The sequence below is a fragment of the Homo sapiens genome, chromosome 13 (assembly GCF_000001405.40).
Source record: "Homo sapiens chromosome 13, GRCh38.p14 Primary Assembly".
In the NCBI taxonomy this organism is placed as follows: Eukaryota; Metazoa; Chordata; class Mammalia; order Primates; family Hominidae; genus Homo; species Homo sapiens.
In genome coordinates this window covers 26,190,707-26,209,434 of record NC_000013.11, presented here as the reverse complement: position 1 = coordinate 26,209,434, position 18,728 = coordinate 26,190,707, and the positions used below count along the sequence as shown (strand labels likewise).

The window sequence follows — 18,728 nt, the reverse complement described above, 5'->3', positions numbered from 1 at the left end:
TACATTGATTACTGGTACAGATTATATAATAGCATATCTCGCTGAGCAAGCTTAGCAGGATGAATGATAGAAACAATGGGTCTCATGAGCATTCTCTTTGTTGCCTCACTTCTCTGGATGTAGAATAAATTGTTGGAACCACCTTCAGAAAAGGCACCAAGGGAGGATTTCCTACTGGTGCTTGTGGTGGTGATGGCAGGCAGGTGTTTGAGGAGATGCTGGTGAATGGCTTTGATCTTGGCATTTCAATGTTGGGGCTTGGTTCAGGGTCTACCATAATGCCGGACAGTCACAGGTCTCTATACAGCAGGCTAGGGACTTTTTGACAATACACTTTCCTTAAAACTGTAACTAGTTTCTTAACAATTGTATTTAGGATCTTGTATCCAATGCCAGAAATCTTGTCTTGTTCTCAATTTGCTAAAGGAATAGCCATGGTCCTCACAACCTTTAGGTCTTTTGTTGGTTTGTTCTTTTTTAGCATTTTGTCAAGAGGATCTTTCTATGACTCTAACTCTTAGCCACATAGAGTTTGCCTCTGGAATAGTTAGGAGTCTTTCTTTAATCTTCCCTTGAATGTCACCCTTGTCCTTTCATTGCATTTCAGACCAGTGCATTGTACGATAGAAGGCATCTTCATTTTTGTCTGTAGGATCGAGCAGCATGACCTTCTTTACTCCAACCAATTGGGATCAGATTATGTGACCAGTCCATTGCAACCATGTAACTTGGGAGGGGTCCACTTAGGTTTTATTCCCAGCACTGAATGACTAGGTGTTCCTGATAAATCTCTGTGTTGGGGGTCTCCAAGACCACATCCAAATTTAGTGATTCACTAAAAGATCTCATAGGAATCTGCATAGAGTTATGTTCACAGCTAAGATTTATTACAGGGAAAAGATATTAGCACAGTCAGCAGAGGAGAAAGGTGCATGGGACAAAGTCTAGAGAAATCCAGGTAAGCTTCCAAGAGTCCTGTTCCAGCAGTTACACAAGACACACTTAATTCCTCCAGCATCAAACTGTGGCTACATGAGAGAAGTGTTGTCTACCAGAAAAGCTCGTGACAGACTCAGTGCCCAAAATTTTACTGGGGGCTGGTCATACAGGCACCCTCTGCCTAGCACATACCAAAATTTCAGACTCCCAGGAGGAAAGCAAGTGTTCAGCGTAAACTATATTGTTTGCACAAACAGTTTAGGCACAGTGGTCCACCCTTCTCAGGGAATAGAGTATTCCCCCAGTCCAGTTCCAGGCTGCCAGCTAAGAGCCAACCTTGCAAACAAGCCTTTCTAGGGCCAGCCTGAGGCCTACCATGTAAATTCTTTTCTGCACACACCTAAATCTTCTTCTCCATTCCAGCACATTCTCCTAAATTCTAGGACCACATTTGTGATTGCCTTAGTTAATGTCTACTAGGTTGTCCCTTTGGAACCTCAAATTCAGCATATTTGGACTGGAAGTAATCATCTTCCCCACAATGGCTTCTCATCATCTTTTTCCTAGCACAGCCAATGCCTCTACCATGCACCAGTTCAAGCAAGGCAGAAAAGTCTGCTCTGCATCCGTGTGGGGGCCAGGTGGGACTGCCTTAGCTGGCATGGGTCCAAGGGGCCAGAATGGGTAGCAGGAGTGCCCCATATTCACGGCACTGGTGTAGTCAAGGGTCACATATGAAACTGTGACCAAGACACTGATAAGCCTTATAGGTTGAGAACTCAGTTTAGGATGTTGTCAGAATAGGAGGGCTTGGAGATGAGGCCAAAAAGTCAGACCAGCAGTTTCCCATATCTGAGATGGCCGGCTGCTTTGAGGTGGTGTGTGTTTGAGGGCTAAGAAGGGAACAAATAGGAACCCAGACTTCTTCCTCATTCCTCCTACCCAATGAATCAACCTGCATCCTTTGGAATACTTGTTATTTTCATTTTTATTGTCTTAGGGTTGTCACTATTTCTCACATAGATTCTTGCCATCATCTCTCAAGTAGTCTCATATTCTGTTTCCAATTATTCCAGTGTAATTTTTCTACAAGCCTCATTTCGACTTGTCACTCCTCAGCTGTCCCTGTTAATTTCCTACTGTTCTTAGAATAGCACACAAGATTCTTCATATTTTGGCTTCTGCCTATCTTTTCCAATCTCATTTTTACCATTTAGGATCCCTCGCAGGGTATCTCATCTTGCCTTTCATACTTTTTTTTTTTTGCCCATGCTGTTCTCTCTTCCTAAAATGGCCTTTCCCCTCTGGCCTCTCTGGTTAATTCCTGCTTGTCCTTTAACTGTCACCTCAGGTGTCACTCCTGCAAGTCCTCATCTTGCCCTCCTCCTCTCCAGGGCCAACCTATCCATTAGGCTCAGTAGGCCCAATGCCTACTGAGGGTCTAGGATACTTTCAAGGTCCCATGAAAATGTTTTAATTTCTTTTAAAACCAGTCACATACCAAGAGAGAATATAATCCAACCTGGATTGTATTTATACCAACACAATTGTAAAATAAAATTTTTAATTTTTTTTTTTTAAGGAGGAAGGGGCCCATGAAGGGAAAAGTGTCGAGGGCCCATGAGAGTCATAATGTGGACCTGCTCAGTTCCCCATCTATGTGCTTCTTCAAAGGACTGTGAACCCCTTGGTTATCCTCAGCACCTAGCATGATACCTGGTACATAGTAGGTCCCTCAATATATATGTAATAAGCAAATGCATAGAAGTTTCAGTATATAGTTACAGCCTGGCTTACAAATAGCTTCTACATTAAAAGCTTGTTTGTAAGATTTTCTTTGAAACTCAAACACATTTCCCATAGAAATAATATCAGATGTTTGTGGTTTGAGGCAAGAGAGGAAAGGCTCCCAGGCGAGTCCAAGAAAATGTATATAACCCATATAACCCACAATGTTTCTGAAATACTATTCAAGTGCAGCCAAAAGCAGAAAAATCCAATGGTCCTGAAAGTTAACAAAACAGAGCAAGAGTTCTTCAACAGTTCAAGTTTACCTTGAACCCAAGTGTTTGACACTCTGTGAAGCCTGCCTTTCTCAAATTTCAAATTCGACAGCCTGCTGCAGACACTGTCTGCTTAACCACAGTGGCTACACCAGGGTCCCAAACTCTGTCTCGTGCCACCCTGCCAGGCAGATGGTGGCTTGGGCTGTGTGCTCTTTGTCTTGTCTCTCACTGCATCCATCTACTTCCTCTGCTGGCTCCCCTCCCCAACCAGCAGGGACGGGGGGCAGTGGGGAGGGTGGTGGGGGGGAGGCGGATGGGAAGGGTTCCCCAGTCAAAGGGCTGGCTGGCAGGCTGTGGCTATTCTGACTGTGGGCAGAGCAAATCAGGAGAGAAGCATGGTAGAGCAGGTTAACCCTTCACACTTTAATGCTGCATTAAGCTCAATGCTGAACTGTGTTCAGATTTTTTTAAAATTTTTTGAGACAGGGTTACTCTGTCTCTCAGGCTGGAGTGCAGTGGCACATGATCACAGCTCACTGTAGCCTCAACCTCCTGGGCTCAGGTGATCCTCTCACCTCACCTCCTGAGTAGCTGGGATTACAGGCATGTGCCACCACACTCAGCTAAATTTTGTATTTTTTGTAGAGACAGGGTTTCGACATGTGACAGGCTGGTCTCAAACTCCTGGACTCAAGCGATCCTCCTGCCTTGGCCTCTGAAAGTGCTGGGATTACAGGCGTAAGCCACTGTACCCGGCCTTTTTATTTTATTTCTTAACAAAGAGAAAGGATTTAGGTTTAATCTTAAAGAGGGTTTATCCTGTGTGGTTGATAGTAGAGTTGTTTGTGTCTTGGCAACTGATGTTAGTAAACACCTTCCTATTCAATATATTACATGAAACTCTTTAAACAGTTTGTTCAGGTGAAAAGCAAGGTTTCACTATCTTGACCACGGAGTATGCTGAGAGAGGAACAATTACCACACCCACCTGAGGAAAATGGATATATATCCCATGGAAAGGCATTTTCTGAACTAGTCCAGTCCTATTGAGAAACAATGACCCCTTAACAGGGTGAGGATTACAACTTCAGTGATTTTATAACATTGAGCCTCAACTCTCAGAATTTCTTAGGTTATCTGGAGAGCTTAAATAATTTATTCAAGGTCATGTGGCTGGTTAGAAACAAGGCAAAATAGTCTTGTATTTTTTAATGTCTTTATTAACTACAAAGACTTTTGTAAAGTTCTGACTCCATGTACTTATTGTACTCCAAGTACTCCATGTACTTATTGTCAGAAGATGTCTAATTGTTGGTGTTATAAGGCTAATAACTGAAGCTCAATACAGAGAAATACCTCTTCTAACCTATTCAGGACAAAATGATGAGCCATGGTCTATCTGGCTTGGTAGGACTTTGGGGAAGTTTGGGCCAATTTATCACGTTGCTCCAGGGACTCTGAGTGCACTTCCCAAGCCGCTTTGGAGGGCCCAGGCTTCAGCTCTGCAGCTTATGGTCTGCAGAGTATGGTCTCTGTTCACCTTGCAATAATTTTAATAGCATCTGTGAGAGTCAAGCAGGTTTCAGATCAGAGAGAGCGGCAGATTCAGTGAAGATGCCATGTCAGGCATTTCTCATTTTCAATTAGAATAACTACTTCAATTAGAATTGAATACCTCTCAATTAGATGAATACCATGCCAGGCATTTCTCATTTTTAATTAGATGAATAGTCATATTTCTTAGGCCCTTCTTACATGGAAATAAACTAGGAACATTTAATGTGTTATATTTAGGTGATGAGTACAGACTTATAGAATCTCAGGCCTAGGAGAAGATGGACGTCTTCTAAACACATCCTTTTTGGGCTCTCGAGGACCTGCACTTAAAATTTCTCAGTTAATTGCCAAGCCTGCTTTTAAAGACCAAAGGAGTTATTGTTTCCCTTTTCTTTTTTCTTTTTCTTTCTTTCTTTCTTTTTTTTTTTTTTTTTTTGAGGTGGAGTCTCGCTCTGTTGCCCAGGCTAAAGTGCAGTGGTGCAATCTCGGCTCACTGCAATCTCCACCTCCCAGTTTCAAGAGATTCTCCTGCCTCAGCCTCCCGAGTAGCTGGGATTACAGGCGCCCGCCACCATGCCCGGCTAATTTTTTGTATTTTTAGTAAAGATGGGGTTTCACCATGTTGGTCAGTCTGGTCTCGAACTCCTGACCTCAGTTGATCCACCCGCCTCGGCCTTCCAAAGTGCTGGGATTACAGGCCTGAGCCATTGCGCCCGGCCTTATTTCTCTTTTCTACACACTCAATATTTTGTCAGTTTGGGTCTCCGAGAAGTGAACACCAAGACAGAATTATACATACAGGAAATTTATTGGGGAAACACTTGTTGACGATAAAGGCGGAGGGAGCGGGAGTAGGTGAGGAGAACCTCCAGGCTGCATTGTGGGTCTGACACCTTCCAGAGAAGAAAGGGAAGGAAGGAGGCTGGAGCAGGAAAAGCCTCAGACTGCATTGCAGTTTTTGTTTGTTTGTTTGTTTGTTTGAGACCGAGTCTCGCTCTGTCGCCCAGGCTGGAGTGCAGTGGCGCGATCTGGGCTCACTGCAAGCTCCGCCTCCCGGGTTCACGCCATTCTCCTGCCTCAGTAGCTGGGACTACAGGCACCTGCCTCCATGCCCGGCTAATTTTTTTGTATTTTTAGTAGAGATGAGGTTTCACTGTGTTAGCCAGGATGGTCTCGATCTCCTGAGCTCGTGATCTGCCCGCCTGGGCCTCCCAAAGTGCTGGGATTACAGGCGTGAGCCACTGCGCCCAGCCTGCATTGTAGTTCTAAGAGAGCTCTCCAGGATCATAGAGGAGCCACCACTGGACAGAAATGGCCCAGTTCTAATATTGCCTTTATGCGTAGTCACTGCTAGGAGCTGCCTGGGGGAAGCATGGCCTGGGCCTGAGCACTGTGTCACACCCAAAGGTGTGACAACTGGAGGCTCTCAGTCAGTCGTGCTTCTCACAGCAGGTTCTCTTAAGTGGTGCACCTCCATGACTACCACAAATATTTAACATCCTTAGCACATTTAGAAACAATCACAATTTGGTTCTGGCTTAGCCCGAATCCTCCTTTGCTCTCCCAAACCACCTGCAATCTATTATCTATTTCTTGATCCCAATTGCCATCAGAGAAGCTAACACTGCTAGGGATCACATCTTAGTTTTCCCTTCTCCAGGTTAAATAACCCTTCTCCACTGCTCTCCTCTGAATCCTCTTAAGGTCTGCCAAGCCTCTTTGTCAAAGCCGAGAACCCCAACCTGCACTCAGTATGAACAGGATGCTCTCGAGAGGTAATTTACAACAGGGATTAGGTACACAGACTTTGGTGACAGATGTCAGCTCATGGCCCAAATTGCCACATAATGGTTTGGAGGCCTTATGCAAGTACCTTAATTTTCTGGTCGTCTGTTTTTCCATTTGTAAAATATAAATAACAATCACACTTACCTAGTGGGGTTAAGTAAGATGATACAGGTATACACTAAAAGTCCTTGGCATGTGTTAAGGGCTTCATAAACATCAGCATAAAATATTATTAACATTGTATCCAGTCTTGAGCTTAATTAATAAAAGGACTTTTGTTGCTGACTCATATCCAGTTTGTGGCCCATTTGCCTTAGCCTTGAGGTACTTTTGTTCATGGTTTGTTCACAGTAAGTAGCTGCCCATGTGATATGGGTGTTTGTTTTTCCTTTCTAAATGTACCATACTATTTTTATTCTTGATCATTGACCCTCTGTCTGTCAGCTTTTCTGAAGAGTCTGTTCTTCTGGGGATCAGTTAAAAGTTTTATTTTCATTTTGTTTTGTATTTTTTTTAAATTTATTTTTAGTGATGCTGTGAAGCAAGAGATAAGAAGCTGCCTTGTGTCATTGCTAAAATATTTCCTCTCTGAGCTTTAACAGTTAATGCTTCTTCTGGATTCATAGTGGTTCTTAGGATTTCAGGAACCTGGCATAGCCACAAAACTTTTTGATCTTTGTTTAATGAATTCTTCAGTATTTTAAAGAGTAATGTGAATTTCTCAAATCATCTAATTATGATCTTAATTTGATCCTCTCCTATTGCCAATAATCTGAAAGGGAAGGGGAGGGTGGCAGCACCCCCTTGGAAATGCTAAGAATAATAACTGGCACATCATCTTAATTTTGTATCACATTTCATTTTATCTGAAGAGATTCCATGCTCATTGTCTCATCTGATATTCAAACCAACTCAAGAGTAGGTTGGTGAGAATTACTTGTGCTTATTTTGGAAGAAACAGAAATAGAGAGATGGATCATTTGCCCAAGTCATCTGAGAGGCCACTGCAGCACCTGAAACAGGCCTCGGTTCTCCAAGTTTACCGCTGTTAGCTTCATTTTGGCCAGACTGCCAAGTATGGTAGGATAGGGCTCCGCTCTCAGAATAAGGGCCTAGTGGCACAAACCGCTCTTTCTTCCATTATCCTGGGGTCTAGAACCACACACCTTCATAAGTAGCCTCTTTTTGTGGTCCCCATAATGAATAAGAAGTTAGTCCTTGCAGCTTCCAAGCAGATCCACAGCTGGGACACTGAGTATCAGTCAACTGGCTCTCAAAGGATGAAACCAAACTTTTGGGTTGTAACGTAATGGCATGTAATGGGCCTCATTTAACCATAAGTTATTATTTTAGGAATCTGAGCCCATGTCTGCCTCTTAATTATGCTACTCTTGAGCAAAATCATTAATAATTTTATACTCCCAGGATCAGAGTCCCATATGCAGTTGTATGCATTTAATCCATGCTCAGTTGTCTCAGGAATTGACAAGCAGTTCTTTGCTTAAATAAGCCATTCCTCTAGATAGTGTCCTAATGTAGAATTGAATCAAACAAGTGCTTTATTGAGGCTGGCAGGAATCTTAAATTTGAGCTCTGCCATCTGCAAATGGAATATTCTCACCTTTCTTACCTCCTTCCTCCCCTCCCCCAACATCCCCCACCATTTATCTTCTGCCTCCGTTATTGTTGCTTGCTCAGCTTCCTTTACTCCATTCATTTGAAAGAATTACCCCTCCTCCATTCCACCTGGTTTTTGTGGGGCTGCCAATCATCAAATCTGTTTCATAGTCTTCACTAGTGTACAAATGTAACCAAATTAGTTCAAACAGCTTCTGGCTCCCATGGGTCATGTGGTAAGTGTGTTGCTAGCTTTACGAGAAATCACCAAACTGTTTTCCAAAATGGTTGGACCATTTTAGGTTCTTAGTAGTGATGTATAAGACAGTTGGCTACATAATTTGCTGGACTCAGTGCAAAATAAAATGTGGGGTCCATTGTTAAAAAAATGGGAAATATAAAGCTTTTTTCTTCTGCAGTCTTGACTTGTCATGGTGTTTTTTATTTGCTATTCATGCTATTAATTATCAGCATGAATTTTACTGCTGTTTCATCTTTATGTTATGCAATGCCAGAGTCTCTGCTTTTAATTATTTGGGCATATACTCAGAAACAGAATTGCTGAATCATATGGTAATTCTATTTTTAATTTTTTGAAAAATAACATGATTACTTTTTACTTACTTTGAGTCTTGCTGAACTCCCATGCATTATGCCCATCAGAATTCATGCTCACAGGTCACTGCAAACACTGTATCTGAATGGGGCAGCAAGAAACAGCACACATATTGTGAGTATCTCCTCTGCTCACACTATCCTCCATTGCCCTATTGGACTTTGCTTACAAAACACTAGTTCAAAGGTAAAATTATTAAGAATTTCAGGCCAGGCATGGTGGCTCACGCCTGTAATCCCAGCATTTTGGGAGGCCAAGGCAGGTGGATCACTTGAGGTCAAGAGTTCAAGACCAGCCTGGCCAACATGGTGAAACTTGTCTCTACTAAAAATACAAAAAATTAGCTGGTGTGGTGGTGGGCACCTGTAATCCCAGCTACATGGCTGAGGCAGGAGAATTGCTTGAACCTGGGAGGTGGAGGTTGCAGTGAGCCTAGATTGTGCCATTGCACTCCAGACTGGACAACAAGAGCAAAACTCCGCCTCAAAAAAAAAAAAAAAAAAAAAGAATTTCAAACAGTGACAGCAGAATATTAAACCAAGTGTGGGGCTCATCTGAGCATGGCACCTGTGAAGCCAAGCCTGGGATGAGAATTCCAATTGTTCTACATTCTCCCTAGCAATCAATATTGTCAGGCTTTTTGATTTTAGCTATTTGTATGGATATGAAATGTTATGGTTTTAATTTGAATGTCCATAATGATTGATGATGTCAGGTATTGCCTTGGTCTGTTTAGGCTGCTATAACAGAATACCATAGACTGGGTATCTTACAAACAGCAAATATTTATTTCTTACAGTTCTGGAGGTCGGGAAGTGCAAGATTAAGGCATGGGCATATTTGGTGTCTGGTGAGGGCTTACTTTCTGGTTCATAGATGGCTGTCTTCATAAGCTTCTGGCTTCTTCATAAGTGGCTTCTTCCACAGGGTGGAAGGGGTGAGAGCTCGCTGGGATCTCTTTTATAAGGGCATTAATCCCAAATTCATGGGGGCTCCACCTTCATGGCCTAATAAACTCCCAAAGGCCCCACTTCCTAATACTATCACATTGTGGGTTAGGATTTCAACATATGAATTTTGGAGACACACAAACATTTAACCCATAAGAGTTATCTTTTTCTGTACTTATTTTTTAATGTATCTTCATCTGTCTCTCTCTCTATAGGTGTCCTTGCCCATTTTACCCCATTGGTTTATTGTATTACTATTGAGTTGCAATAATTCTTTATGTATTAGGAGTATTATTCATTTGTAATTTATATCTACATACATATACAAATATATGTCTGTAGATATATGTTTTATCCTCTCAGTCTCTGAATTTTTATTTTCTTAATAGTATCTTTGAAGAAAAAATAGTTTTTAATCTTGATGAAGTCCAGATTATCAATGTTTTTCTTTTTTGGTCCATGCTTTTTGTGTGGTACCTAAGAATCTTTGGCTATCCCAAAAATCACAAAGACTTTCTTCAGTTTTTATTGTTGTTGTTTTCATTTAGTTTTTTAGCTTTTACATTTATATCTATGATCCATTTTGAGATCATTTTTAGTGTGGCAAGAGGCAAGAATCCAGGTAAATTTTGTTTGTCTGCATATGGATATCCATTTGTACCAGCAGCATATGTTAAAAGACTATCCTCTTCACTGAATTTCTTCAGTGAAAATTAGTTGAACATATATGTGTGGGTCTATTTCTAGGCTTCCTAGTCTGTTCTATTGTCATTCTTATGTCATTCTACACTATTTTGACTGCCCTAGGTCCTTTGCATTTTCATATACATTTAAAACTCAGCTTGTTAATGTCTATGTAAAAGAACATTGGGATTTTGAGTGGGATTGCACTGAATCTATAGATCACTTTGGTGAACTGATATCTTAACAATATTGAATCTTCTAACCTATCAATATGGTATATATCTCCATTTATTTAGGTCTTTTTAAATTTCTCTAAGCAGTGATTTGTATTTTTAAGTGTGTTTTGTACATCTTGTTAAATTTATGCCTAAGCATTTCAAGTTGTCTGAAGTTATTGTAAATGTTATTTTTTCACACTTTCAATTTCCAACCATTTATTATTTACCTATACCTGTACAATTGATTTTTGTATTTTGAGCTTATATTCTCTGACCTTGCTAAATTTACTTATTTAATAGCTTTTAAAAGTATTTCGTATTATATTCTATGTACTGAATGCTATATGCAAATCAAGATACTTTTGCTTTTTCCTTTTCAATATATATGGTTTTTTTTAACTTTTTAACACTATCTAGGACCTTCATTACAGTGTTAAGTAGAAGTGGTGAGAGTGGACATCATTGCCTTGTTTCTGCTGTTAGTGGAAAGCATTCAGTCTTTCACTATTAAGTATGTTAGCTCTAGGGTTTTCATAGATGCTGTGATGGTTAGTTTATATGACAACTTGGCTGGGCCATAGTGCCCAGCTATTTGGTCAGATATTATTCTGGATGTTTCTGGGAAGGTGTTTTTTGGATGAGATTAGCATTTCAATCAGTGGATTTTGAGTAAAGCAGATTCCTTTCCATAATGTGGGCAGGCCTCATCCAATCAGTTGATGGTAGAACCAACACTGACCTCTTCTGAGCAAGAAGGAATTTTGCCAGCAGACTGCCCTTGAACTACAACTGTAATTCTTTCCTGGGTCTCTATCCTGCTGGCCTACACTGCAAATTTTGGCTATACCAAACTTCACAATCATATGGGCCAATTCCTTAAAATGAATATTTCTCTCTCATATATATATGTGTGTGTATATATATATATATACACACACACACACATATACTTTCGTACTACACACACATACATATTCTCACATATATACATATGTATGTATGTATGTATATATACACATCCACAAATTTTGATATTTTATATTTTTAATTTTATTCAATTCAAAACATTTTCTAATTATCTTATGATTTCCTCTTTCACCTACAAGTTATTTAGGATTTGTTTTACTTCCAAGATGTTACGGGGGCTTCCTGAAAACCTTATTGCTATTGATTTTGAATTCAATTCCCATATGATCAGAGAACAGACGGGGTTTCACCATGTTAGCCAGGATGGTCTCAGTCTCCTGACCTTATGATCTGCCCACCTCGGCCTCCCAAAGTGCTGGGATTACAGGTGTGAGCCACTGCACCCAGCCTAATGTATTTTCAGAGATAAAGTTGGACATTAATTAAACAAGTGAAAATGGATCTTATTCAGTAACTATTGCAGTAGAGAAAAGAGCTGAATTCCATTCTGATTCCTACACAGGTAACTGGGTGTTTTAAAAGACCCATGAGAAGGAGTAGGGAGGGAGAGCAAGTAGAGGGCTTGAGCAGTGTCAGGAAAGTGACAAAATTTCAAAAAATGGGTACAAGGGTTGGCCAATGTAAATATAATTAGGCCATCTGTGTTTGTTTACTGCCATTTATAAAGTTAGACTTCTACCTCCACAGAGACTGAGAGATAGAGGCCCTATGCTTTCTAATGATTACATTTCAAAGGAATGGCTTTTAGGTCCTTGGGAAAGACACTCCTGAGTTGTAGGAGATACATGTATATCCCAAATGGGCAGAGAAAAGATTTGTAGTTGTAAGCTTTTTAAGGTAAATACTCTAGGAAAGGGAGGTCAGGGACCTTTCCCCAGGTGTTGGCTGGAACAAATGGTAAATTCTTTGGCAGCCTTGAGTTTTTCTAGGCAGGATCTCAAGAGTGTGCTGGATCATCCCAGGAGCATGGGGCCTTTGCCTGCCAGAAGTCATGTTAGAGTTTGGCCAAATCTCTTAGTGCAGGGGTTTGGATGTAGTCATTCATGCTGAGAGTTTCTGCAGTTCTCAGCATCCTTAACTTATCACTCTTCCCATGTCCCATTTCCCACTTCCCATATTTAACTTTCCATTTCAAACTTCTCACTTCATATATATAAAAACTTCAAAGCAATATAATTCCATTCTTCCATTCATCATTTGTGTTATCATATCTTTGATTTCTATACCTACATTATACACTCACCTTATAATGCTAGTTTTTGTTTTCACAATCAGTTTTCATTTAAGGAAATTTCAGGAAGAGGGATGCAGCCTTGTATATTTACCTACCTACTTAACATTTCTGGTGGCTTGCTTTCTTTTCTACAGATTTGCATCTCTATCTGTATACTTTCCCTTCAGCTTAAAGGACAGTGTAGTGCAGAACTACTAGTGGCAGATTCTCCCAGCTTTTTGTTATCTGAAAATGTTTTATTTATTTATTTATTTATTTATTTTTTGGAGAAAGAGTCTCACTCTGTCACCCAGGCTAGAGGGCAGTGGCACGGTCTCTGCTCACGGCAACCTCCGTCTCCCAGGTTCAAGCAATTCTCCTGCTTCAGCCTCCCAAGTAGTTGGGATTACTGGCTAATTTTTTGTATTTTTAGTAGAGACTCGGTTTCACCATGTTGGCCAGGCTGGTCAGAAACTCCTAACCTCAGATGATCCACCCACCTCGGCCTCCCAAAGTGCTGGGATTACAGGCATGAGCCACCACACCCGGCCTGAAAATGTTTTATTTCTTCTTCATTTTTGAAAGAGTTTTTGTTGTTGTTGGATATAGCATTCTGGGTTGACATTTTTTTTCCCTTTCAGCATTTTAATGATTTTATACTTTTGACTTCTGGCCTCCATTGTTTGTGATGAGAAGCAGTGTATGTTTGTGATAACTTTTTTCTCTTGTTGTTTATAAGAGATTTTATCTTCAGTTTTCTACAGCTTGACTGTGATGTCCCAAGCTATAGTTTTATTTGAATGTATTTTGTTTGTGATTTAGTAAACTTTTGGGATCTGTAAGTTTTGATAAAATTTTAGAAAATTTTGGCCATTTTATCTTCAAGTGTTTTTTACACCTCAGTCTATTTCTGTTTTTCTTTTGGGTCTCCTACTATATGTATGTCAGTCTGTTTGAAATTTTTCCATTAGACCTTGGGTTTATCTCATTACGATGCTGATGAATAAATCATGTATAATGTCTGGTTGAAAATCAGGGTCAAATGAATAATAAGGTCATCTTGAGAGAAGTTACCAAAATATGCAGTCTTGTGTAAAATTGTATGTATGTGTGTGTGGGTGTGGGTGTGTAAGAAGGGAGGTGTTGAGGCTTATCACCCCATGATGATATAGGGGTTAGGACCACTAGCTCTGGAGACAGATATACTTGTTTCGAATTATAACTGCTATTTACTAATTGTGTTATCTTAGGCAAGTTACTTAGCCTTTTGACTTCTTTCAGGATTTTTAATTTGTCTTTGATTTTCTGTAGTTTGAAAATGATATGCCCAGGTGTAATTTGTTTGTGTTTGGCATTTATCCTGCTTGGTGTTCTCTGAGATTCCAGGAGCTGTGGTTTGGTATCTGACATTAATTTGGGGATAATCCTAGTCTTTATTGTTTCAAATATTTCTTTTCTTTCCTTTCTCTTTTTCTTCTTCTGGAATTCCTATTATATGTGTGTTACACCTTCATAATTGTCTCATAGTCCTTGAATATTCTGGTTTTTTTTGTCTTTGTCCTCTTTGCTTTTCAGCTTTGGTTTCTGTTAAGATACCCTAAAACTCAGAATTCTTTCCTTAGCTGCGTCCAGTCTACTAATAAGCCGCCCCCCAAAGGCAGCCTTGATTTGTGTTAGTATTTTTGATCTCTAGCATTTCATTTTGATTCTTAGGATTTCCATCCCTGCTTACATTGCCCATCTGTTCTTCCATGCTGTCTACTTTATCCATTAATCATAGTTGTTTTAAATCCCCAGACTGATGATATTTCTTCTAGTATTTCTGCTATATCTGGGTTTAAGCCAGCTCTGTCTTCAAATACTGTTTTTTGGCCATTGTGATGGTTAATAACTGAGTGTCATCTTGATTGGATTGAAGGATGCAAAGCATTGATCCTAGGTACATCTGTGAGGGTATCGCCAAAGGAGATTAACATTTGAGTCCACGGGCTGGGAAAGGCAGACCCACCCTTAATCTGGGTGGGCACCTTCTAATCAGCTGCCAGCACCGCTAGCCTATAAAGCAGGGAGAAAAACGTGAAAAGACAAGACTGGCCTAGCCTCCCAGGCTACATCTTTCTCCAGTGCTGGACCCTTCCTGCCCTTGAACATCAGACTCCAAGTTCTTCAGTTTTGGGACTTGGACTGGCTCTCCTTGCTCCTCAGCTTGCAGATGGCCTATTATTGTGGGACCTTGTGATCATGTGAGTTAATACTTAATAAACTCATATATATATATCCTGTTAGTTCTGTCCCTCTAGAGAACCCTGACTAATACAGCCATTATATCTTCAAATATTTTAGTAGGTCTTGCAATTTTTTCTTGATACCTGGACATGATGAACTGGGTAAAAAGGAACTGCAGTAAACAGGCCTTTAGTGATGTGATGATAAGGTATAGGGTGAGGTGAAGCATTACATTGTCCTATTATTAGGTATTAGTCTTTTAGCGAGCCTATGCCTCTGGACTGTAAACTTCACAAGTGTTCTTCAGTTTTTCTTCTCCTCCCTTTTGATGGGATAGAATGGCTACAGTGGACCTGAGTTAGATATTATCCTTGTATTTGTTAATCTTTCTTACCAGTCTCTTGCTTAAACCCTCAACTCTCTTGCCTCTCCCCTGCTTTTTTGTACTCACTTGGCTAAACCATAACCACTGTTAAAATTTAATTTGATGCTCACACTCTCTAGCACCTGAATATGGCTTGAGAAAAATACCCATCTGTGTATATTGACCGTTCTCATCTATATCGACTAGTCTCATTTAAATTCATTATTACCAATCTCATGTGGAATCTTATTGCTTCCGAGCAGTAATATTGTATTTCCTTAGTGCATTTGTGCCATCATCCTAGGTAACTATTTTATATCTTATTATTTAAAATTCCATTACTTTCTGTTCCGTTCTTATTCTAGATAATAATCTACTCTCTATTTCACTAAGAAAATAGAAATAATTACACAAGAACATCTACAAGCTTGTGCTACTACATCTACCACTCACCTTCTTCTCTGCCCATGCATGCTCTTTTCTCACATATTGTCTGTGCTTCAAATTAAGATCAACCCTTCCATTTGTTCAATCAACCATTCTTCAACCATCCAGCAAAACTGCTTTGACAAATATCTACTGTCTCCTGCATCAACAGTTTTTATTCTTGTACTGGATCATTCCTTCAGTATGCAAGGGTATTTTAAAAACTCTCTCTTGATTTTACTTACCCTTCCAACTACCTTACCCTCTCTCCACTTTCCTTCACTGCAAAACTCCTTGGAAGAGTTGTCTACATTCCATATTTCCAACTTCTCTCTCCCCCAGGTCTTGCTAGAACACATTCCAGTCAGGCTTTAGACCCCACCAGTCTACTTAAGTTTTTCTTATCAAAGTCACCAATGTCTACCAGGTTTCTAAATCCTTTGGCTAATTATCAGTCCTCATCTTAATTGACCTACCATCATGATTTCAGTTGCTAACTCCCTCATCCTCTTTCCATAGCTTCCAAGATACCAGTCTCCTGGCTTTCCTTCCGTATTACTGACCTCTTCTCAATCTCCTGGCTCCTCATTTTTTTTTTAACCTCTTAATGATGAATTTTTCCAGGCTCTGTTCTTGTACACTAACTGCCTTAATTATTTCATTAACTTTCATGGCTTTAGAAACCTTTTATAAGCTGATTCCTCCCAAAGTTATATCCATAGACATCTCCCCCAAATGTAAAACTTGTATATCCAACTGCTTACTGGTATCTTATCTTGGGTGTATAATAGGCACCCAAACTTAGTATGTCTGCCTGATCTCTTGATCTCGCCACAGCTCAAACTGGTTCCCCTAACCCAGTTTTCCCCATTTCAGTAAATGGTAAATCCATACCAGTCACTCAGGCCAAAAAGATGTCTTTTTATTAGTTATCTATTGCTGTGTAACAAATTACTGCAAACTTAGCAGCTTACAATATACCACGTTTATTATATTACAGTTTCTGTGCGTCAGGAGTCTGAGCATGTCTTAGCTAGGTTCTCTGTTTCAGGGTCTCTCACAAGGCTGAAAACAAGATATCAGCCAAGGCTGGGGTCTCATCTGAAGGCTCGACTGAGAAAGACCTACTTCAGAGCTCACCTGTTTTTGGCAGGATTCAGCTCCTTGAGGGCTGTTGGATTGAGGGCCTCTGTTCCTAGCTGGTTGTTGGCCAGTGGCCACCCTAAGTTCCTTGCCACATGGGCCTTTCCAAAATGGCAGCCTGTTTCATCAAAGCATGCAAACTAAGAAGGCAATAGAGTCTGCTAGTATGACAGATGTAAAAATATCACATAATCTAATCATGAAAGTGATATCCCACCACCTTTGTAATATTCTTCTAATTAGAAGCAGGCCACTGAGTCCAGCCTACCCTCAAGGGAAGACTATTACACAAGGGCATGAATACCAGATGGCAGGGATAATTGGGGGCCATCGTAGACTCTCCAGCCACATCATCCTTGACTCCTCTTTTTCTTTTGCCTACACAACCAATCCATGAGCAAATTCTATTGGCTTTGCCTTCAATATATTCAGAAACAACTACTTCTAACCACCATCACTACTACCACTCTGTTCCTAGCCATTGTTCTCTTTCCACTGGATTATTGTGGTGGCCTCCTAACTGGTCTCCCTGCTTCTGCCTTTGCCCATTTTCAATATAAAAATAAGAGTGATTCCATTAAAATGTAAATCATATAATGCAACTTCCTATCTTACTTGAAAAAGCCAAAATTCTTAAAATGACTATCAAACTTCTACATGATCTCATCCCCGGCTATCTCTCTGATCTTGTTTCCTATGATTGTTCCTCTGCTCACTTAACTTCAGCCATTTAGGCTAAATATTTCTCAAAAAACATGCTCCCATTATAGGGCCCTTTATTACACATTACCTCTGCCTAGAAAATCCTCCCTCCATTACTGCATGGCCAACTTCTTCACCTCATTTAAGTCTTTACTCAAATGTCATCTTTATAGCAATGCTTTCCCTAAATAATCTGTACGAAATTGTAAACTCCTGTTCCCTACTTCTCTTCCCTGCTTTTATTCCTCCATAACACATATCACCAACTGTATTAGTCCATTTTTACACTTCTATAAATAACTACCTGAGACTGAGTGATTTATAAAGAGGTTTATTTGACTGAGTTCTGCATGGCTGGGGAGGCCTCAGGAAACTCACAGTCATGGTGGAAAGTGACAGGGAAGCAAGCGCCTTCTTCACAAGGCAGCGGGAGAAAGAGAGTGAGGAGAGAACTGCCAAGCACTTTTAAACCATCAGATCTTGTGAGAACTCATTCACTATCATGAAAACAGCATGAGGGAAACTGCCCCCATGATCCAATCACCTCCCACCAGGTCCCCTCCCTTGACATGTGGGGATTACAATTTGAGATGAGATTTGGGGACATAGAGCCAAACCATATCAAATAAATAAGCTAACTGCTTATTTATTAATTGACCGCCACTCTGCACTAGAATGTAGGCTCCACAAGAAAGGAGATTTTTGTGTGATTTTTTTATCCACAGCAACTTGAACAGGATAGTGGCTTAATAACTATTTGTTGAATGAATGAATGCATTTAGATATATTTAATCCATTGGAATTAGCTTTTATGAATGGTTGGAGATAAGAATGTCCCTTAGCCATTTTTTTCCTTCTAAACAGATGGCCAATTATCTCAACATTGTGTATTGAACAATCGATTAAACCACTCCTGCCCTCCAACTTAAAATGTCTTTTTTTCTAAATGGAAAGGCTGTTCCATGGAATATCACCTATTTATTAGTGTTTAATGTTCTCATTTTATGGCATCCTTTAATGAGACTTGGCCTACTGAACACTGGAGCTGGATGATGATTCTGTATTCTCAGAACTAATTTATGGATGGTCACTCTATTCCGACATTTCATATGACTCAGCACCTTTGGATTTATAGATTTTTGTTTCATGCTAAATGACCAAAAAGATCACAATGTTGATACTGATGATGATGAACCCATGAATCCACTGGCCATTGCATCCTTTGAGGAAGAGAGGTGGCAAACAATGATGAATTAGGTCACATTAACAGTAGTAAACCTTGTCTGGCTGATTAATCATTTTATTGCTGGAGCCTAGAATAGCACCCACATATCATAGGTGTTCAAATGTTC

General features: G+C 40.2%; 1 protein-coding gene across 5 annotated transcripts in view, besides 1 other annotated feature; it reads left to right on the top strand.

Moving 5' to 3' along the window:
• The window catches only part of RNF6 (ring finger protein 6), a 90,971-nt gene that overhangs the window by 13,651 nt on the left and 58,592 nt on the right, over positions 1-18,728 (top strand). The gene's annotated exons all lie outside the window — the stretch shown is intronic.
• Positions 8,529-8,823: a silencer, noted in NCBI's record as "tiled region #3220; K562 Repressive non-DNase unmatched - State 23:Low". NCBI's record gives its function as "represses a minimal TATA promoter and a strong SV40 promoter by Sharpr-MPRA in K562 cells {active_cell/tissue: K562}" and the evidence as "EXISTENCE:reporter gene assay evidence [ECO:0000049][PMID:27701403]".